This window comes from Homo sapiens, chromosome 1, assembly GCF_000001405.40.
Source record: "Homo sapiens chromosome 1, GRCh38.p14 Primary Assembly".
Taxonomy (NCBI): Eukaryota; Metazoa; Chordata; class Mammalia; order Primates; family Hominidae; genus Homo; species Homo sapiens.
The window spans coordinates 9409740-9431369 of NC_000001.11; the positions used below are offsets into that span (position 1 = coordinate 9409740).

General features: G+C 50.3%; 1 long non-coding RNA gene across 2 annotated transcripts, besides 10 other annotated features; it reads right to left on the reverse strand.

Annotated features, from left to right (window-relative positions):
* Positions 2867–3800: an enhancer, noted in NCBI's record as "H3K27ac-H3K4me1 hESC enhancer chr1:9472665-9473598 (GRCh37/hg19 assembly coordinates)". NCBI's record gives its function as "activates a minimal SCP1, AML or CMV promoter by ChIP-STARR-seq in naive H9 embryonic stem cells {active_cell/tissue: H9 hESC(naive)}" and the evidence as "EXISTENCE:reporter gene assay evidence [ECO:0000049][PMID:30033119]".
* Positions 3801–4732: an enhancer, noted in NCBI's record as "H3K27ac-H3K4me1 hESC enhancer chr1:9473599-9474530 (GRCh37/hg19 assembly coordinates)". NCBI's record gives its function as "activates a minimal SCP1, AML or CMV promoter by ChIP-STARR-seq in naive and primed H9 embryonic stem cells {active_cell/tissue: H9 hESC(naive and primed)}" and the evidence as "EXISTENCE:reporter gene assay evidence [ECO:0000049][PMID:30033119]".
* Positions 3888–4167: an enhancer, noted in NCBI's record as "active region_123". NCBI's record gives its function as "activates an Ori minimal core promoter by ATAC-STARR-seq in GM12878 lymphoblastoid cells {active_cell/tissue: GM12878}" and the evidence as "EXISTENCE:reporter gene assay evidence [ECO:0000049][PMID:35858748]".
* Positions 4178–4307: an enhancer, noted in NCBI's record as "active region_124". NCBI's record gives its function as "activates an Ori minimal core promoter by ATAC-STARR-seq in GM12878 lymphoblastoid cells {active_cell/tissue: GM12878}" and the evidence as "EXISTENCE:reporter gene assay evidence [ECO:0000049][PMID:35858748]".
* Positions 7319–7819: an enhancer, noted in NCBI's record as "H3K4me1 hESC enhancer chr1:9477117-9477617 (GRCh37/hg19 assembly coordinates)". NCBI's record gives its function as "activates a minimal SCP1, AML or CMV promoter by ChIP-STARR-seq in naive H9 embryonic stem cells {active_cell/tissue: H9 hESC(naive)}" and the evidence as "EXISTENCE:reporter gene assay evidence [ECO:0000049][PMID:30033119]".
* Positions 8170–8249: an enhancer, noted in NCBI's record as "active region_125". NCBI's record gives its function as "activates an Ori minimal core promoter by ATAC-STARR-seq in GM12878 lymphoblastoid cells {active_cell/tissue: GM12878}" and the evidence as "EXISTENCE:reporter gene assay evidence [ECO:0000049][PMID:35858748]".
* LINC02606 (long intergenic non-protein coding RNA 2606) lies at positions 15355–19257 on the reverse strand. 2 transcript variants are annotated; one of them, NR_104622.2, is given in 2 exon segments: positions 15355–17642; positions 19183–19257. It is a non-coding gene; the product is annotated as a long intergenic non-protein coding RNA 2606 (long non-coding RNA).
* Positions 16555–16604: an enhancer, noted in NCBI's record as "active region_126". NCBI's record gives its function as "activates an Ori minimal core promoter by ATAC-STARR-seq in GM12878 lymphoblastoid cells {active_cell/tissue: GM12878}" and the evidence as "EXISTENCE:reporter gene assay evidence [ECO:0000049][PMID:35858748]".
* Positions 17990–18624: an enhancer, noted in NCBI's record as "H3K27ac-H3K4me1 hESC enhancer chr1:9487788-9488422 (GRCh37/hg19 assembly coordinates)". NCBI's record gives its function as "activates a minimal SCP1, AML or CMV promoter by ChIP-STARR-seq in primed H9 embryonic stem cells {active_cell/tissue: H9 hESC(primed)}" and the evidence as "EXISTENCE:reporter gene assay evidence [ECO:0000049][PMID:30033119]".
* Positions 19123–19352: an enhancer, noted in NCBI's record as "active region_127". NCBI's record gives its function as "activates an Ori minimal core promoter by ATAC-STARR-seq in GM12878 lymphoblastoid cells {active_cell/tissue: GM12878}" and the evidence as "EXISTENCE:reporter gene assay evidence [ECO:0000049][PMID:35858748]".
* Positions 19413–19502: an enhancer, noted in NCBI's record as "active region_128". NCBI's record gives its function as "activates an Ori minimal core promoter by ATAC-STARR-seq in GM12878 lymphoblastoid cells {active_cell/tissue: GM12878}" and the evidence as "EXISTENCE:reporter gene assay evidence [ECO:0000049][PMID:35858748]".

A 21630-nucleotide genomic window follows, 5' to 3' on the forward strand; every position in this document is an offset into this window, starting at 1 on the left:
CCTTTGGTGGGTGGGAGTGATAGAGTTGGAGGCCCCATCCTGTTCAGGTCCAGCTCCAAACCTCACAGGCCTGGCCTGACACCTCCACTGTTCTGTGTCCTCCAGGTCCTGGGCTCCTTCTTCCACCTGGGTGGCTGGGTCTGGGATACCAAGGGACAACTATATATTGGAACTTTACTTTTTTTTGCTAAATTGGATAACAGCTTTGAATACTGGGAGAATAGTTCCTTATCTTTTGTACTATTCACAATGTTATTGCTAGAAGTACAATTCACTTTCAAGTTTAATTTGCAATATTAACTTTTTGTTTTGGAGTCTCACTCTGTGGCCCAAGCTGGAGTGCAGTGGCACAATCTCGGCTCAGTGCAACCTCCACCTCCTGGGTTCAAGTGATTCTCCTGCCTCAGCCTCTCAAGTAGCTGGGGTTACAGGTATGCGACACCACACCAAGCTAATTTTTGTATTTTTAGTAGAGACAGGGTTTCATCATGTTGGCCAGGCTGGTCCTGAACTCCTGACCTCAGTGATCTGCCCACCTCGGCCTCCCAAATGCTGAGATTACAGGTGTGAGCCACCGTGCCTGGCCAATATTAACATTTTCTCCATTGCTTTCTTAAATCTAGAAAATCAACAAAAGAGTAAAGAAAGCCCTGGCTGAGAGCATTTGCCCATTTCTGTGGTGTAAATACTCCCAGCGCAGTTGGTTTTGAGGTCCCAGAGTGACATTGTTGAATGTGGAGTTGGGAAGAGGTGTTCAGTAGCCACCATTACTAGCACTTCCACAAGGCAGAGACCATGGATATAAATAACCTCAGGGCATAGGTAAAATGTAGTAAGATAATTAGGAAGCCAGGAGTCTTGAGTCTTTAGAGCTTTGTTTTTAATATAATTTATTTAATCGTAAGTGTATAGAACTTAATTGTTAATGATGGCTGTATTTACAAACTGGCTCCAATGATTTCTGAAAATCATCAGTCAACCCTCCTGAGTCAGTACAAGTCAGCTCCACCGTGCCGTGAACCCATTCCCCTACAGCTCTATAGGAAAGGTCTTACTAGCTCTATTTTACAGCTCAGGAAGCTGAGGCTCAAAGGCCACAGAGCAAGGCCTTGAGTGCAGGAGGGCTTAATGCTGAGATGATTGGAGTCCTGCACAAGTTACTTAAGTCGGGTAGCGTGAGCAGAAACTGAACCACAAGTGTGTTTGGGGATTTGTGGTGTCAGGAAACACTTAAGATACTTCTCTACCAGTCTGGTCTGGCCTCCAGATAGCACAGTCCCTGCTTGTATAATGCAGTAGAATAAAGTTGCAACAGTCGGCCTGCAAAAGAAGATAACGTGGTGGCAGAAAGCCCTTTGACCAGGACACTACCACACTACCATAACACCACACCACCACACTACCAGAACACCACACTACCACACCACCACAACACCACACCACCACACTACCACACCACCACAACACCACACCACAACACCACACTACCACACCACACTACCATAACACCACAATACCACACTACCACAACACCACAACACCACACGACCACACCACCACACTACCATAACACAATGTAGGAGAGACCTGCCCACCTCTCTCTTTTCTTTTCTTTTCTTTCTTTCTTTTTTTTTTTTTTTGAGACAGAGTTTCACTCTTGTTGCCCAGGCTGGAGTGCAATGGCATAATCTCGGCTCACTGCAACCTTCACCTCCCAGGTTCAAGCGATTCTCCTGCCTCAGCCTCCCAAGTAGCTGGGATTACAGGCATGAGCCACCACACCCGGCTAATTTTGTATTTTTAGTAGAGATGGGGTTTCACTATGTTAGTCAGACTAGTCTTGAACTCCCAACCTCAGGTGATCCACCCGCCTCAGCCTCCCAAAGTGCTGGGATTACAGGCATGAGCCAGCGCACCTGGCCTTTTTCTTTTTTTTCCTTTCTTTCTTTTTTTTTTTTTTTTTTTTTTTTTTAGACAGGGTCTTCCCCTGTTGCCCAGGCTGGAGTACAGTGGTGCAATCTCAGCTCACTGCAACCTCTGCCTCCCAGGCTTAAGCGATCCTCTCACCTCACCTCCCAAGCACCCTGGACTACAGGCAAACTACAGTTTGGCTCTGTGTCCCCACCCAAATCTCATCTTGTAACTCCTACGATTCCCACGTGTTGTGGGAGAGACCCGGTGGGGGGTGATTAAATCATAGGGCAGGTCTTGCTCGTACTGTTCTCGTGACGGTGAATGGGTCTCATGAGATCTGATGGTTTTAAAAAGAGGAGTTCCCCTGCACAAGTTCTGTCTTTTTGCCTGCCGCCATCCATGTAAGATGGGACATGCTCCTCCTTGCCTTCTGCCATGACTGTGAGGCCCCCCCAGCCACATGGAACTATAAGCCCAATTAAACCTCTTTCTTTTGTAAATTGCCCAGTCTTGGGTATGTCTTTATCAGCAGCGTGAAAATGGACTAATACAACTTCTAATATTAAACATTAAAATAGGCGGGGCATGGTGGCTCATGCCTATAATCCCAGCACTTTGGAAGGCTGAGGTGGGCGGATCACAAGGTCAGGAGTTCAAGACCAGCCTGGCCAACATGGTGAAACCCCACCTCTACTAAAAATACAAAAATTAGCCAGGCACAGTGGCAGGCACCTGTAATCCCAGCTACTCGGGAGGCTGAGGCACGATAATCGCTTGAACCCGGGAGGTGGAGGTTGCAGTGAGCCGAGATCACGCCACTGCACTCCAGCCTGGGTGACAGAGCAAAACTCTCAAAAAAAAAAAAAAAAGGTGGAGTGGGAGAGGTGGCTCAGGCCTTCACCTTGGCAAGCAGCCAGCTTGTGGGCTCAGCCATCAATTCTGGGGCACCTTGGTGTCTGAGGCCTCCTCAAACCATTAACAATGGTTTTAAAAGTACCATCTCAACCTAAAATAAATGTCTAATGGATTCAAGGGGACATTGCTAAAGAAAGTCATCTTACATTCCAACACACCGGCCCGGTCATGAGACCAGGTCTGCAAAACGTTGTTCTCCTCCCCTTAGACATGAGAGAGACAGAAACAAAGTCTGGGGCGGCGGGTGAGGGATGGGGTGACCAAAAAAAGTACTTATTCCACACACAGTGGATGTTTAGCAGATGTTTTTTGGATAGACTTAAGCTTTTAGACAATGAAACAAAAATAATTCTTCCCATCATCACAAAATAAAAATGTGACCACATCCCTCTACCACGTCCCCTTGGGGCTTGGGAAGAGCGTCTGTCCCATAAATCCTCCAATGGGCCTTTTGTGTGCCAGGCACCGTGCTGGGCACTGGAGCACACTTACAAGGGCAGCCCCTGGGCGCCTGCTCCTCCTGCTCTGGTCCCCAGCCCAGCCCCCCCCGCAGCCCTGTCCTCACCCTGACCCAGCAGGGAGGGCCTCGCTGGCCTGACCTGTTTTGCCTTCTAAGTGGAAACAAGCCGCTGAGCTACAAGGGAAAGTCGGCTCTGGGCAAAGCCCAGTGACTCTCGGCTCATGCTCACCTCTGACCAAGAAAGAAACACAGCTGTGGTTATCAGAAAGCTGCTGAGAGCTCAGGATGGTGGGGGTGGGGCGGAGGCTGGGAGGAGGAGGGCGGGTGTAGGGGGAATAGAGAAGCTCTGAATCACAGAATCTTATTCTTGGGGGCAGATGTGGCCACAAGCTGGGACGGGACTGGGGTGGGGACAGGGAGTCTTATCCCCAGTGTGCATGGCATTTCTTAGGAAGAGCAGAGAGCCCCTGAGCCTGGGAAGGGTGAGCTGGCCTTGCTTGTGGGGGTGAATGAGTCGCCAGCCCTGCAGGGCCACTTGAGTGCTGCCAACAGATTCCCAGGGGCCCAGGGCAGCCAGCTCTGGCACAGCCTGGTGGCAAGTATCCCCACCTGAGCAGGGTGAGGCCGGGCAGGGCCCAGCAGGCCCCGGCCCCACCAAACCTCCGGGGCCAAATCTGCTGCTGATTGGCCAACTCATGGAACCGAAACGGAAAATCCCCCACCCGTGGCCAACAACTGCCAAACCACTTGAAAGAGGCAAAAGTCTCCCACGGGTTAGAGGCTTGAGATGTTGCAAAGGTCAGGATTCATTAGCAAATGGGTTGCTTAGAGGTCCCTGGAAAGGGAGGCAAGAAGCAGGACCAGGGCCAGGAGGCTGGACTGGAGAAGTTGGGCCTGGGATCAATGAGGGGCAGCGTTCTGCTGGAGGATGGTGAGGTGATGGGCTCACCCTGGCCCGAGATCCTGGGCAGGGAGCAGCTCTCACCCCACAGGCCTGGGCCAGCCGCCCAGCGCTTCCCAGAGCTGCAGGGAACTTCCAGGGAACTGAGACCTCCAAGCTCAGAGAGAATGCCTCCAAAATTCCTTGGGATTTTTCTTCCCTAGTCAAAAGCCTATCTATTTATAGATGTGGAAATATGTGTGGAGAAAGGACTGGAAGGAAATACATGAAATGTTAACATGTTTTTCTTCTTCTCCTTATTCATATTGTTTTACGAAAAATAAACATGACTTTCAAGATAAGAAAAAAGATATTTTTAAAATATAATTAATCTTGATATGTTATTCATGTTGTTATAGAAAAGTGCAAAGCTGAACTTACCCATAGTGCTGTTAACCACGAACATTTTGCTGTGTTTTCTTTTCTTTTTTCTTTTTTTTTTTTTTTCGATATAGGGTCTCGCTCTGTCGTACAGGCTGGAGTGCAGTGGTGCAATCTTGGCTCACTGCAACCTCTGCCTCCTAGGGTCAAATCCATCTGCCTTGGCCTCCCAAAGTGCTGGGATAACACGCATGAGCCACTTTGCCTGGCCTGCTGTGTTTTCTTTTGCTGTTTCTCCTATGAAGACATTTGGGTGTAAGGTTGTTGTTCATGCTGTATTTTATTTTATTATTTTATTTTATTTTTGAGACGGTTTCGCTTTGTCACCCAGGCTGGAGTGCAGTGCAGTGGCACAATCATGGCTCACTGCATGCAGCCTCAACCTTCCAGGCTCAAGCAATCCTCCCACCTCAACCTCCTGAGTAGCTGGGACTACAGGCACATGCCACTACACCCGGCTGACTTTTGTATGTAGAGATGGTGTCTCCCTATGTTGCCCAGGCTGATCTCGAACTCCTGGGCTCAAGCAATGCTCCAGCCTTGGCCTCTCCAAGTGCTGGGATTTATGGGCATCAACCACTGTACCCAGCCTCATGCTATATTTTACATTATTAGAAAACTTGATATGTTACCAGAAAGGCATCATAACCATCTTTTAAAATATCTATGTAGGCCAAGTGTGGTGGCTCACGCCTGTAATTCCAGCACTTTGGGAGGCCAAGGTGGGTGGATCACTTGAGATTAGGAGTTCGAGACCAGCCTGGCCAACACGGTGAAACCCCGTCTCTACTAAAAATACAAAAATTAGCCGGTTGTAGTGACACATGCCTGTAATCCCAGCTACTCGGGAGGCTGAGGCACAAGGATCACTAGAACAAGGGAGGTGGAGGCTGCAGTGAGCCAAAATTGCAACACTGCACTCCAACCTGGGCAACAGAGACTCTATTTAAAAAGAAAAAAAAACTCTAATATTTATTCAGTAGATAATGCCATTATTCATTTAGCCATTCTCCCATTTGAAGGTATATCTATAGGTATACCTATAGGTAGATAGTTTCCAGCTCTTTGCTATTATAAATAATACTGTTGTGAACATCTTTATGTGGAACATTCTTTCTTTTTCTTTTTCTTTTTTTTTTTTTTGAGATGGAGTCTTGCTCTGTTTCCCAGGCTGGAGTGCAGTGGCACAATGTTGGCTCACTGCAACCTCCACCTCCTGGGTTCAAGCGATTCTCCTGCCTCAGCTTCCCGAGTAGCTGGGATTACAGGCGACTGCCACCTCGCCTTGCTAATTTTTGTATTTTTAGTAGAGATGGGGTTTTGCCATGTTGGCCAGGCTGGTCTTGAACTCCTTCCCTCAAGTGATCTGTCTGCCTCGGCCTCCCAAACTGCTGGGATTACAGGCATGAGTCACTGTGCCCGGCCATTCTTTCATCTTTTGAGATGATTAGATTATCTTAAGTCAAATGCTCATATTTCCAAATGTGGGATTACAGCATGAAAGGTTGCCACACACTAAGCAGGAGAGTGAACTTGAACCCAAGTTAGTCTAAGTCCAAAATGCCCATCTTTAATCCTGCCAAATGTTTCTGGTGGTGGTGGTGGTAGTGGTGGGTTTTGTTGTTGTTGTTTGTTTGTTTTTGAAACGGAATCTTGCTGTCACCCAGGCTGGAGTGCAGTGGCCCAGTCTCAGCTCACTGCAAGCTCTGCCTCCCAGATTCAAGCGATTTTCTTGCCTCAGCCTCCCAAGTAGCTGGGATTACAGGCGCCAGCCACCATGCCCACCTAATTTTGTATTTTTAGTAGAGACGGGGTTTCACCATGTTGGCCAGGCTGGTCTCAAACTCCTGTCCTTAGGTGATCTGCCCGCCTCAGCCTCCCAAAGTGCTGGGATTACAGGTGTGAGACACTGCGCCCAGCCCCAAATGTTATTATATTTAAAGAAAAATGGGAATGAGGCTTCATTGAGGACGGGGCAGGGGGTGCGATCTCTCCCGCCCCCGACGTCCCACCCACACACATGGCTTTCACCATCAACAATGGTGTTGACCTGGAGCCTAGCCTGGCCCCATTGGACAGGAGGGTGAAGTCGTGAGAGACTCCCCAGTATAGTTGAGAGTCAAGATCTGTGCAAATGAGCAGCTTGGACCAGGCAGGAGAAACACTTTGCATGGCTTCTCGAAGGAGGTGAGGCATAAACCGCATCTTCAAAGATGGGCAGGGTTTTGGCAAGCTGGGTGAGGGAAGGCATGGGCCAGGGCAGGGGGCATGGTGTCCTGGCTTGGCAGTGAGGCCCCATCCAGGGTAACCCGGAAGGCGGAAAGCAGTGAGACGCAGGCTGAGGGTGGGTGGGGACAGTTCCAGAAGGGCACATGCTTAACGTGTCCCCGGTGCATCCCTGGGGACATGAGACAAGATTCCCTCCCCCTTTATTTTTCAGTGACTCGAGTATTTCCAAAGTTTCTTGACCTTTCACTCATCTCACCTCTTGGTTGCCCCGCAAGTCTCCAGGGTACCTCACCTTTCCCACACCCATTTCCCACCCCATGCTCCCTGTGCCTCCCTCAGCCACAGCCTCCTTCCCACACCCTCTCCAGTTTCCACTTTCCCGCAGTGACTCCGTCATCTGTCCCAGCCCCAGGAAGGCCGCCATGCCCCGAAGGCCAGCTAACCCCATGGCCGCTATGTGTCCTGGTTGGATCAGAGAGGGAGCAAGACTCCCACACACATATGCATGCTCATACATTCGTACGCACCACACACACGCTCACACACACTCCTCCATCTTCACATGCTCACACTCACTCGCTCACATTCACACTCCTCCAGTTGCTCAGAAGAGCCATGCCCTTACTGACCCACGCAGAGGGGCAGAGAAGGAGACACTCCTGGTCAACCCGGAGCAGCTGGTTGGCAAAGGGCCGAGGGCTTGGCCGGAGGGGTAGCCGCTGCCCAACATCTAGGGTGAGGGCCCCGGGCATCCACCTCCCCCTGTGGCTGCAGACCCTGCTGCAACTCTCGTCCCCTCCATGGGGGCAGGGTGGCTGCTTAGGAACATAAGCTGAGAAGAAAGACCCAGGTCCAAATCCCGGTTCCACCCTCCACCACCTTCTCCCAGACTGGATTCCGAACCTCAGTTTCCCTGTGTGCAGGAGTGGTGCCTCCATCACGGGAGTGCTGGACGACCAAGTGACCTAATACATGCTAAGGGCTGGACATGCTAAGCACTGTGCAGGTCACACGGATGGAAAATGCCTCACCACTGGAAGAGCTTCAGTAGCCTCATTATTGGAGACCCTCAGATGTCTCGCTTCAGCATCCAGAGGCCCGAACAAAGCCTCGCGGAGTTGATTCTTGTTCCAGAGTCATCCATACAACAATTCCATTTACTGAGAAAAGTGCCCTTAAGGAAATAACTGTCATCCTAGCTCTCCACCCATCCCCATCACCACCAGGACAGCCTCTGGGGCCCCGGGGACCCAGCAACCTGCAGCTGCTGTCTGTACCCCACAGACACAGAAGCCCAAACCCAGCGGCCGAGGAGGCTCTGCTCCGCTTCCTGCCAGTCACAGACACACCCAGACACTCATCCCCAAACTGGGGCAGCTTCCTGGGACCCCTCGCCTCCCCCACCCCACCACCTACCAGCCTTGGTCGACTTCCTGCCGCTTGGGTCGCTTAATAACTTTTGTAACCAGGTGGTAACTCTCTGGCTCTGGTTCTTTGATGGAATGACTTCGGTGCTTTTCCCTCTTCCCATCAGCATCTCTCTCCCCAGCCCTCAGAGTCGTCTTTCCCACTAAGCCCACTCCCTTCAATCTAGGAGCAGAGCCAGCCCCACCATCCCTGGCACCCCTGTCTGTACAGTGTCTTCCTAGGACCCCTCCCCCAACTACATCCCCTCTTCCAACAGTCCCCTGGCCCCCACCAGTCCACCCAATCAGACAAAACCAGTGCTCCGGGAATCCAGCTAAAATCTCAGCCAAAGAGGGTCTTTTCCTGGAGTAGTCCCTTGGCAGGTAGAAAAGCAGATAATTCCGGCAGAAGCTTCAGGAGATCAGAAATGGGTGTGACCACAGTGACTCCGGCACAGGAGCCACACCTGTGCCCATCCTGCAGGAGATCCAAATGGTGGTGTGATGTCTTTTTTTTTTTTTTTTTTTTTTTTTTTTGGAGACAGAGTTTTGCTCTTGTTGTTCCAGGCTGGAGTACAGTGGCACAATCTTGGCTCACCACAACCTCCACCTCCTGGGTTCAAGCAATTCTCCTGCCTCAGCCTCCCAAGTAGCTAGGATTACAGACATACACCACCATGCCCTGCTAATTTTGTATTTTTAGTAGAGATGGGGTTTCTCCATGTTGGTCAGGCTGGTCTCGAACTCCCGACCTCAGGTGATCCGCCCACCTCGGTCTCACAAAGTGCTGGGATTACAGGCGTGAGCCACCATGCCCAGCAGTGTGATGTCTTGATGGCCCTGCCCTCCTCTCTTTGGGGCCAGGCAGGCATCTGAGAAGTTCACGTGGGAAGACTGGGCTGAGGCCCTGCCCTGGCCTGGCCCAGTGCTCTTGCCACACTGGGAGTGGTGCCTGCAGCCAAGGACATCACATACACCTGGCCACCCCTGCAGAGCTGTGGGCTGGTCCCTAGGTGATGTGGCCCATGGCAGTTGGGCTGCCCAGCTCTGTTCCCCAGCTGTCTCCCCAGGGCTTGGGGGAGGACGGTATGAAGAGGGCACCTGTGCAGTCAGCGGGAAAACTCCACCCTGACCACAGTGCTCAAGGGCCCCTCCGCTGGCCACAGGTGTTTAAAATGCTGTCTGCTGAGCTCACCTTACTTGGAACTTTTGGCACTGATTTTTTTTTTTTTTTTTTAATGGAGTCTCACTCCCGTCGCGCAGCCTGGAGCGCAGTGGCAGGATCTCAGCTCACTGCAACCTCCACCTCCCAGGTTCAAGTGATTCTCCTTCCTCAGTCTCCTAAGTAGCTGAGATTACAGGCATGCACCACCACACCCGGCTGATTTTTGTATTTTTAGTAGAGACAGGGTTTTGCCATTTGGCCAGGCTGGTCTTGAACTCCTGACCTCAGGTGATCCACCCACCTCAGCCTCCCAAAGTGCTAGGATTACAGGCGTGAGCCACCACGCCCAGCTGGCACTGATGATTATGAATTCAGTGCCGCTGGGTGAGAAAGATAAATGCAGTTCTCTCTGTTTTACATGCTATACAAGCAGGAAAATCAGGTTCGGGGCCAGACAGACTTGAGTTTGAGGCTCAGCAATGCCGCTTCTGAGCTGTGTGGTCCTGGGCAAGTAACTTGACCTCCCTGCATGTCACCTGCCTCATCTGTGTAATGGGAATTACCAGAAAACTCACCTCTAGAATTGTGACTTACCTCTAGAATTACCTCTAGAGCTCCTTTGAGCTCGTGCTTGTAAAGCCAGGCATGGGGTGGATGCTCCAATGGTCTCATAGGAAAGCAGCAGCTGCTAATGTCAATATTTCACAACTCCATTGGGAACTAAGTTGGCAGTAGAAGATGCCATGTTGTCCCGGGCACCCAGGCATACCCATAAGCAATTCTGGAGGAGGGGAGAAGTAGGCCAGGAGCCTCCGAGCCCTGCACCAGAAAAGGTAGGGACTGAGGACTCAGCCTGAGGTAGGTTGCCTACCACCCCCTTTTTTTTTTTTTTTTTTTTTTTTTTTTTGAGATGGAGCCTCACTTTGTCACCCAGGCTGGAGTGCAGTTGTGCGATCTCGACTCACTGCAACCTCCACCTCCCGGGTTCAAGCAATTCTCACGCCTCAGCCTTCCAAGTAGCTGAGACTACAGGCACGCACCACCACACTCGGCTAAGTTTTGTACTTTTAGTAGAGATAGGGTTTTGCCCATGGGGTTGGCCAGGCTGGTCTTGAACTCCTGACCTCAGGTGATCCACCTGCCTTGGCCTCCCAAAGTGCTGGGATTACAAGCACTCTCCTGTCCTCAGGCCCCAAAGAAAGAAAGGCAGAATGGATTAATGTCAGGTTAGTTTCATCACCTTCTCAAAGAAAGCCAGGCTACAGAAACTTTGCTGGGCTGCCACTTCTGCACGGTTCAGCATTGTTGCTCTGCGAGGCTGACTTCAATGGATAAAGGATGATGGTAACTCTGGCTGGTTTCCAAGGCTTGCAGGGGGAGCGACACCCAGCCTCACCTTGGGAAGATTCTGCTTCTCCCACTCCCAGGGGAGGTACTGCTTTCCTTCTTCATCTGTTTCTTCTCTAAGAAGTCCCAGGTGGCAGGCCGGGCGCCGTGGCTCCTGCCTGTAATCCCAGCACTTTTGGGAGGCCGAGGCGGGTGGATCACGAGGTCAGGAGTTTGAGACCATCCTGACTAACACAGTGAAACCCCATCTCTACTAAAAATACAAAAAAATTAGCCAGGCGTGGTGGCAGGTGCCTGTAGTCCCAGCTACCTGGGAGACTGAGGCTGGAGAATGGCATGAACCCGGGAGGCGGAAGTTGCAGTGAGCTGAGATCGCACCACTGCACTCCAGCCTGGGTGACCAAAAAAAAAAAAAAAAAAGTCCCAGGTGGTAAGTTCATGAGTGGATAAAAATCTCAGTATAGGTCGAAGCAGATATTGGTGGTTGATGTTGGTGGTACAACAGTTCTTCTAGTTTCATTTTCTTTTCCTACCTGGCCCTCTGCTTGGCAGAACTGATATAGAAAAATCCACACACTCCCCAGTACACACAGCCCAAATATGTTTTTTATATGTTTAACAGTTTTATTGAGCTAGAATTTACTTACAAGAAGCTGCAGTAACGGAAAGTGTACAACTTAGTGAATGTTACCAGTTGCATATGCCTGGGAAACCACCACAATCAAGATAAAGCCAGATCTATTAGATTGGCTTCCTTGAATGGGTGACCCATTTTTTTTATTCTTGGCATTTTATTGGCAGGTGGCAGAAACTCAGCCCACACTACTTAGGCAAAGAAGAGGGGCTAGAGATGTGTGTAGTTGGAAAGTCCAGGAATACACCAGCTTCAGGTATGGCTGGCTTCAGGGGTTCAGAGGATGTCATGGGTGCCCTTTCTCCCCCTCTCAACCAAATTCTCTCTCTAGAGCTGGCAAGATGGCTGCTGGCAGTCCCCAACTAACATTCTATTTAGCAATGCCTAAGAAAAGGAGCAGTCTCCTCTGATGGCCCTGAGGAACTCCCATAGGGCAGCTTTGGGTCATGTGCCCAGCCCTGGATGGGGTAAAATCAGCACCGGGGATGTGTTTGTGAGAGCTGGGTGTGCTCATCTGTTCCCGAGTCCAAGGTCAGTGACGTCTCAGTGATGTTATGTCTGTAGCTTGAAGCTGGTAGTGGGGGAGTATTTACACCATGGAAATTGGCAAATGCTACAAATCAAGGCTTTCCTCCCTGTCCCCTCTGCCTGCCCCCAGCTGGCCATTAAACAGTTATGTACACTACCGAGTCAGTCCTACCTAAATCCATGAAATAGGTTCTCCTGAGGAAAGAGCTGTTCCGTTAATAAAAGAGGAAATTGACCCCAGTCAGACAGGAATAACCGAGGAACTTCACTCTGCTGAATTCAAAGCCACCTGCAGCAGACCTCAGGAAGGAGTCCTCCAAGATAACATCCCACCCCAAACCCCCAAGGGGACCAGACCAGGTTGAATCCACTGCAGAGATTGTTCAGCCAATACGGACCCTTCTAGAAGAAGGGCCCAGGCTTTGTTCCTCTCCGACAGCTCACCTCCCTCCCCCTACCCCCGACCCCAACCCCCAACCACTGCCAGTCACATTCTATGGAAAATTAAAGAACTTCCTAAGCCCGGCTGCTCTCTGCAAAGCCATTCCAGCAACCTAGACCCGTGATTTTCAGCTTGTTCAGCTATTTTAAAACAACCCTCGCAAAGCAGCCCCAGAAATGGGGGCTGCGGCTTGATTTGAGGTTAAACAAATAAGTACCATTTATCCACCAACGCTCTAGGAATGAAAGATTTCTTCAGGCTTATTCCCAAGCTGTGCGCTCCAGAAAAGCTGCTGTCCCAAATTGCCGGGTGCCAACCCAGTGTTCTTCATTTCCAAAGATACCTGGGGAGTTTTCAGCCGTGCTCTGCACAGAGCGCTAGGACGGATGGCAGTGTGGGCGGCCAGGCATGCCGCCTCAGCCTCCGCTCAGCCTCACCCTGGGTCTTCTTGGCTGTGTCAGCCTCTCATCCCGGGACCCACAGAACCCTTGGAGCTCCCGGGGCATTTCTTGGCCTGCTGGGAAATGGCGCCTCTCCATCTTAGGGGGCCCGGACCAGACTGCTGGCTGTTTGAGTCAGACAGCTTTTCTTCCCATGTTTTGAGGGTAAGCAAGAACGAGAAAAAGGAAGAAAACAAAACATATTCTCAAACAAATAAAACTGCACTCCATCGGCCAGAAAAGCTGAGCCTCTCTGGGATGTAGGGAACAGAAGCCACTCCACAGAGGACTCTCCCATCCCTTTCTCTCTAGGAGACATCCGTCTTTGTGCCCAAACTGGAAATCTGAACCGCAAGCTCTCTCATCTCCCTACTCTTGGAAGTTTTCTGTGGCAGAAACAATAATGTTCACTACACAGACCGTTGACTCCCCTGGGTTTCCCAGCTGTGCCATATGGCTAGCTTTGGCCGATGAAATTGAGCAGAAGTGATACGTGTCATTTCCAGGCTGAGGCAGTAAAAAGCTGGTGCGCCCTTCTCCAGGGTCTGTTTCCCAGCTGCCGCAGCCATGGAGGCCGTGTGTCCCAGATGGTGCAGCTACAGCTGATGGAACTTCCGTCAGCCTGGGTCCCTGAGTGAGTCTGTGGAAGAGAACTGCAACTGCCTGCCGACCTGCTGGGACAGACAACATGAGCAAGAAGTAAGCTTTCGCTGGGCTCAGCCACTGAGACCCAGGGGCTGTTTGTTACCATAGCGTTGCCTGGCACACCTGATTCAAGCTCCTGACACGCTCTGTAGACTTTGCTGTGTTGTTCACTGGGAGGCACCAGCATGCATGAGATAGAAAACACTTCCTTCCACTCTGGCCAATAGCCTTCACTCAAAATAGTGCCGATGAGTTTACATCCAGCCCCAAAGATTTAAGGAATTTCTCTCTGAGCTTGGGACCAGGTCTGTGCCTTCCTTTGTATTTCTCTACAGCACATGGTTGGCACTAGTATAAAAATGGCACTCTTCCACATGCCAAGGCATTTAACAGGCATGAAGCACGTTTGCTGATGATCTCCCATGAGGTGGAGGAGATAGGCTTAATTCCTGTTTTAAAGCTAAGAGCATTGCAGCTCAGAAGGATCACATTCAAGGTCACACAGCTAATTATAGTACTTGAACCTAGGTCTGTGTCTCTTGCCACAAAAACCAGTATTTCTCAAAATGTAGTTCTGGCCAGGTACGGTGGCTCACACCTGTAATCCCAACACTTTGGGAGGCCGAGGCAGGCAGATCACTCGAGGCCAGAAGTTCGACACCAGGCTGGCCAACATGACAAAATCCCTATCTCTACTAAAAATACAAAAATTAGCTAGGCGTGGCAGTGCATACCTGTAGCCCCACCTACTTGGGAGGCTGAGGCACAAGAGTCGCTTGAAGCTGAGAGGCAGAGGTTGCAGTGAGCTGAGATCACGCCACTGCACTCCAGCCTGGATGACAGAATGAGACTCTGTCTCAAAAAAAAAAAAAATGTAGTTCAGAGACTGAAAGCCAGGACCTGGGAATGTGCATTTTTTAAGTTCCTCAGGCCATAATTATGCTGAGTTTGAGAATCCTTGCCCCACATTGCTTCCAACCATCCTGCCAGCTTTCTACAGTGGGAGGGGAGCAGTGGGAATTTAGAGGTGAGCCAAAGGCTTACTTCCCCAACTAAAGCAACAAATAAAAAATGTCTCCCCTGCCAGACTGCTCTTTGTGCCTGAAATTATCCCAAAAGACTCATTTCTTTGGGTAAAAATACAAACAGTCCTAGATCACTCGGGACCTTCTCATGAATGAACTCGGGTGATTCCCAGCCAGGAACAATGGCTTGTACGAAGTCACTCTGCAATGTCAGCTTTTGCGGGGAAACATCAGTCAAGAGTCAAGACCTTGAACTGAAAAGGCAAATCCAGCTGGAGGTTGCAGGTGGTGAGATCCTGGACAGCAGGGAGAGGCTTAGCATCAATGGGGTGGGGGTGGGATGGGGTGGGGGTGGGGTGAAGGTGGTGGAGGACTCCCAGGAGAGAAAAAAAAATGCAACTGGGGGTAAGTGTGAAGCCACACATACCAGAGTCAGAAAGAACTGGAGGCCAGGTGTGGTGGCTCATGCCTGTAATCCCAGCACTTTGGGAGGCCAAGGCAGGTGGATCGCCTGAGGTCAGGAGTTCGAGACCAGCCTGGCCAACATGACGAAACTCCGTATCTACTAAAAATACAAAAATTAGCCGGGCATGGTGGTGCACACCTGTAATCCCAGCTACTCGGGAGGCTGAGGCAGGAGAATTGCTTGAGCCCGGGAGGCAGAGGTTGCAGTGAGCTGAGATTGTGCCACTGCACTCCAGCCTGGTGAGATGCCTCAAAAAAAAAAAAAAAAAAAAGAACTGGAGTAAAGCCTCAGCCTTGCTACTTAACGGTGTGACCTTGCAAATGTTACTTTACCTCCTGTGCCTAAGTTTTCTCATGTGTAAAACAGAGCTAATAACAGAATCTACCCATGGGGCATTATAAGAATCAAACACATTCATGTGTGGAACAGTTAACGTTTACTGACCCTTGTGCCAGTAGCCATGCTAAGTGCTTTGCATATATTATCAACTCATTTAATCTTCATAGACAACCGATGGTGTGGTTATTATTTTACCCATTTTATAAAGGAAGAAAGTAAGGCACAGAGAGATGAAGTAACTTGCCCCAAGGTGGCACAGCTTCTAAGTGTCAGAGTCAACATTTGAACCTAGTCAGTCATATTTCAGGGGCAGTGGACCTGATGGCTACACTGAGCGACAGATGCTTCATCTCATAGAGTCAGCTGCAGTGGAGGGGGATGCAGTGCACGCTGCTGAAGGATGGACCTCTGGGCAGGGGTCCCTGTTGCTCAGGTCCAAATGCAGACCGAACAGTAGCCTTAATCATTAAAATCACTACAGAGCTAAGGGGTGAGAGCACACTCTGCCTGTTCTCTCTCCACCCCTAAGACACTCACCCTATTCCACACCCAGAGGAGGACATGGGGTGCTCCCTTCCAGAGCCTGGAGACCCTGGGATGGCTCCAGCCCCTTCTCCCAACATCCCCCCAACGAAGAGCACCAAGTACCCTTGCTCTGCTGTCCTGCCGGGCAGTTGTCCCGGGATCAGTGTTTTTGGTTGTTCTTTGTTTTAGCTTGCTTCCCTTTTAGAGTATCTCCTGAAATAAACAGCAGTGTTGCAACGAGAAAAGGGAGCCCAGCCTCTCTGGAGCAGTTACGATGGGCAAACAATGTCGAGGAAATCCACATGCGGTGTCTCACAGGGCCTTCACACCTTTGTGAAGTAGATATTATCATCTCCATTCTGCAGATGAGGACACCAGGCCCAGAGAGGCTAAATGACTTGCTCCAAGTCACAGAGCAAGTCGGCAGCACCTCGCTGCGTCAAATGCTTGTATGTTGGAATCCAAAGCTATTTATGGGACTTGGGGCCCAGTTGGGGCTTGTACACCCAACCCCCAAAGGTGAAGTTCTCTGTTCCTCATTCATTCCTTCATGTGCTGAGTGTTTTGCAGCAGCGGCTCAATGTCAGGCATTGGAGTAGAGACCATAGCAACCTGGCCTCCGTTTCATTCTGTTGGCAGGGCTGGCGGTCTTTCTAAATGGGATATTTGTAGAGGTTTCCATCGCCCCAGGTTCTGTAAGTCCTGATCATCAGCCCAGGGGCTGCTCCTCAGGGATGGGAGTTGGGGGTTCAGCTTCTTCTTGGGAGAATCCAGCTCTGGGTGTTTCAGGAAATTTCTGACCTGCCAGGTTTCCTAATCAGTCAGAGCTGGGGAGTGGGGGCCGAGAGAAGAGGTTTCCCGTCAGCCCAGCTTTTGTCTCTCACATGAGCCCGAGACAGACAAACCACAACCACAGACTCGACCAGCTGTGGAAGCGTCGAACAGGAAACCCAGAACATCTGGTGCTCCACTTCCTCTGAGGGCTGTGCACGTCTGGGGGGCCAGGTGCGCGTGTGCGCGTCCGCCTGTGTGCACAACTGTTTTCTCTCCTGCTGTTGGTTAGTGGGACCTGGATGCAGACAGAGCTGGAAACCACAGGTCTTGTGGTGACAAGGAAGCCAGACACTGGCTCCCCAACCCTTACAGCACGGCATCCCTCCTCAGACAGTAACCCGGGATCCGACCCAGTCTCGCAGGCCACCTGCCAGCACCCGGTCCTTGGCTAGCTTCAGGTCACCATTGAAGAAAGGGATTTATTTTCCTTTCAGATTGTGATGGTTTAGAGGCATTGTTTGGAGGTGAGGTGGGAGGGCTCTGCTTACATAGAACTTGGCCTCAGCGTACAGACCCACAAAAAGCAACCTCTGGACAAAAGCTGGGGTTTTTTTGTTTTTTGAGACAGAGTCTTGCTCTGTCAACCAGGCTGGAGTGCAACGGCGAGGTCTCGGCTCACTGCAACCTCTGCCTCCCAGGTTCAAGCGATTCTCCTGCCTTAGCCTCCCAAGTAGCTGGGATTACAGGCACGTGCCACCATGCCCGGCTATTTTTTTTGTATTTTTAATAGAGACAGGGTTTCGCCATGTTGATCAGGCTGGTCTTGAACTCCTGACCTCAGGTGATCCACCTGCTTCGGCCTCCCAAAGTGCTGGAATTACAGGCATGAACCACCGTGCCCAGTAGCCATGCAAAGTGCTTTGCTTATATTATTAACTCATTTAATCTTCATAGACAAACAGCTTTTAAAAAAAGCTGTTTTTAAAACAATTTGAGGAGCATCTGTGGATGAATGCTGAGGCCATGTGCCGGTCAGGGGGCAGTCTTCCCATTAGTGGTGGTGTTCTCTGCGTAAGGAGAAAACAGGGTTTTTAATTTTTCATTTTTCTGAAGGGAAGAATCATAAGGAAGTGGAAACAAAAGACTCCCCAAACCATAGCATGAGGTTTAACTCTCATGATACCTTAAGGAAGTAGGCATTATTATGCCCATTTCTATGAATCATGAAATAGATGTGCAGGAGGGTTCAGAAGTCACCCCAGCTCATACAGCGCCTAAGGAGCAGGGCCAAGGTTCAATTCAAACCGAATCCCAGCCTCATGCTAGATCTTAGTTCACACTTCATTCTTTCAATGAGCATTTATAATCTAAACTGTACCTAGCAAACAGGTGGGACTTCAATGTTTCTTGAATTAACCACCTAAATGTGCCATGATGTCAGAGACAGATGTCATCCTCACTGTAGCCCCCAGGTTCAGCACAGTATCCAGGAAAGAATGGGTGCTTGTAGTCCCAGCTACTCGGGAGGCTGAGGCAGGAGAATTGCTTGAACCCGGGAGGCAGAGGTTGCAGTGAGCCGAGATCTCGCCATTGCACTCCAGCCTGGTTGACAGAGCAAGACTCTGTCTCAAAAAAAAAAAAAAAAAAAAAAAGCATAGGTGCTTAATCAATGTCAGCCAATGAATACGTAAAGGAATTCTAAGTTTTAGAACAGTGATACTTTATTTTTCTTTGTTTGTTTGTTTGTTTTTGTTTCTTTTGAGCCGGAGTCTCACCGTCGGTCAGGCTGAAGTCCAGTGGTGCCAGCTCGACTCACTGCAACCTCCACCTCCCGGGTTCAAGCGATTCTCCTGCCTCAGCCTCCGGAGCAGCTGGGATTACAGGCGTGCACCACCACGCCTGGCTAATTTTTGTATTTTTAGTAGAGACGGGGTTTCACCATGTTGGCCAGGCTGGCCTCAAGTGATCCGCCCAACTCGGCCTCCCACAGTGCTGGGGTAACAGGTGTGAGCCACCACGCCTGGCCGATACTTCATTTTTCTGGAGGTCATTTACTTAGTAAGGCCAACTGGATCCTGGCTAAAAATGTGAAAGAAGACAGAAAGAGTCACGAGCAGTGAACAAAAGTCACGGGTCCTAGCACGTAAAAGCTCAAGTACTTGATTCAAAGCCGAAATTCTCAGGTCCTCAGTTGTAGCCTGGTTACCCTTACAAACACCAGTGCTAAAGAGCACGGTTACTAATCTTTCCAGGACACAAGATTTGAAAGCATCTGTTTCGAAGGGAGATGACCTGCTAGAGGAAGCTTGCGGGCAACAGCAAATTGGGAGTTCGACTAGCACTTTCAGACTGGGATGCAACGAAGAACTCGCCAGCAGAGGTAAGAGATGGGCAAGATGAAGAGAATGAACTCTGATTCTCGGATATCTGCCCGCAAGGTGGCTCCGAGAAAGCCAGCGGGAAACTGCAGCATCGCGGAGGACTTCTCTAGTTCAGGTTAAAGAGACAGCAGCCAGAGGGAGCCGACCTCAAACCCAACTCCCGACAGCAACCTTGAGGCCACCCGAGGTGGCGCATGCGCAGTGTGCGAGGTAGTGCTCTTCCTACCTGCCGACCTGCGGAGCCTTCTTACTGAGCAGGGCTTACGTCACGCAAGCGCCGCGGGTGTGTGACGTCATCTGAGAGCGCCACGCGCGGTCCCGAAAACCTGAGCACCCTCTGGCTAAGGCGTTGCTGTAGAGACGGTGCGCCAGCCCCGCCCCCGAGGCGGGATTGGAGGAAAACTGGACAGCTGACAAGGGTGACGTTTCGAAAGCGCGCGGGAGGCCGTGCTGGGACGCAGAGCCCGAAAACCTATTTGAGGGGCGTCTTGACCGAAGGTGCTAAATATCACATGTCCCCATTAAAGTAAAAATGCAAACTGCCCTAATCGGATTTCGTGTAAGGCAGGAGGGCTGGGAAGACTTAAATGTATCACTTCAGTAGTTTAGGGGTGGGAAGAAGAGTTTGGACCAGACTGGTGCCGGGATAACCTGACCTTTTTGAGCCTTAACTTCTTCTCGAAGGGATCGTTCCCATCAGCATATAAACATGTAATTTCCCCCTTCCTGAGAACCCTGTGGTGGCTCCAGCTCCCACCCCATCCCTTCGCTTTCTGAATACCGTAACTCCTTGGAAGAGTGTATATATTCTTTGTCCAGCTCTCTCCTCCCACTCTGTTGAACTCCCTCCAGCCAAACTCAGTCTCTCCCAAGTCCTCCTCTTACCTGCTCTATCAGCAATTTTTGATACAGTTTATCACCCTCTCCTCCGCAAAACTTTCTTCACTTGGCTTTTGGCAGTGCACACGCTTGTTTTTCTCCTCCATCCCTGCCCCACCTTCTCTGTTTCTTTTGCTAGCCTCTCCTCTTTTTCCTGACCTCTAAATGTATCAGTACCCCCAGCACTGGCTCCTTGGACTTCTCTTTCTTTTCGCTTAATCTCTTGATGATTTCATCGGGTTTCATGGCTTTAAAGACTATGTGCTGATGACTCCCCTCCTTATAGCTCCAGCCTGGAATTCATCCTCAAGAAAAATCCTTCTGGCTTCTCAGGCTGTAAACTTAGAGTTCTTCATCCCGTGTCAAATCTGTCAGCAGATCCTATTGGCTTTTCTTTTTTCCCCAGAATCCGGTATCCACTAACAGCATCTTAGACCAAGCCCCCATCTCTCACCTGGATTATTGTAATTGCCTAGCTGGTCCTTCCTCTGCTCCCACCCCGTCAGTCTGTGTTTACATAACAACCTCAGTAATTCTGTTAAAAGTCATATCATGTGCCTCCTCTGTGCAAAAACTACCAGGCCTCCTGTCTCAGAGTAAAAGCCAAACCTTTACCATGGCTAGAAGTGTTCCACACGGCCAGGCCTCTGTTCTAGACCTTTCCTTTCTTGTCTCCGTTCTCACTTAACACCAGCCACAGTGGCCATTCTGCCAGGCTTGCTTCTGCCTCTGGGATCCTGAACTTGCCTTTACCTCTGCCTGGAACTTGTCCTCAGTTATCCCCAGGGCTCTCTCCCTTACCTCCTCCAAGACTTGGCTCAAATGTTCCTCACTGAGAAAGGCTTTCACCAACCTCCTGGTTTTAAATTGCAAATCAGACTCCCCCAAGCCCGCATTCCCATTCCCTTCCTTTTGCTCCATTGCATTTAATGTATCACCTTCTAATAAACCGTTTAATTTAGTTCTTTATCTTATTTGATGTCCCTCTCCGCATGAAGACAGGAATTTGTTTCATCATTGCTCCATCCCCAATTCTGAGACAGAGTGCGTGGCACATGATAGGTGCTCAGTACAGGTCTGTGGAGAGAATGGGTGCATTGCAGAATCCAAGGGTTAAGGCATGGTTAGGAGCTAGAGCTTTAGAGGCTTGGGTTCCAGACTCCCTTTACCACTTAGCTGCTTTGTGGCTTTTTTTTTTTTTTTTTTTTGAGATGGAGTCTCACTCTGTGGCCTAGGCTGGAATGCAGTGGCCCCATGTGGGCTCACTGCAACCTCCGCCTCCCGGGTTCAAGAGATTCTCCTGCCTCAGCCTCCCAAGTAGCTGGGACTACAGGCGCCCACCACCACACCTGGCTAATTTTTGTATTTTTAGTAGAGACGGGGTTTTGCTATGTTGGCCAGGCTGGTCTTGAACCCCTGGTCTCAGGTGGTTCATCTGCTTTGGCCTCTCAAAGTGCTGGGATTCTTTGGGAAGCCGAGGCAAGTGGATCACCTGCGGTCAGGAGTTCGAGACCACCCTGGCTAATGTGGTGAAACCTCGTCTCTACTAAAAATACTAAAATTAATCGGGCGTGGTGGCGGGCACCTATATAGTACCAGCTATCCAGGAGGCTGAGGCAGGAGAGTTGCTTGAACCTGGGAGGCAGAGGTTGCAGATCACACCACTGCACTCCAGCCTGGGCAACAGAACGAGATTCCGTCTCAAAAAAAAAAAAAAAAAAAAAAAGGGCTGGGATTACAGGTGTGAGCCACCGCACCTGGCCATACTTTGTGGTCTTTAAGACATTTATTTAAC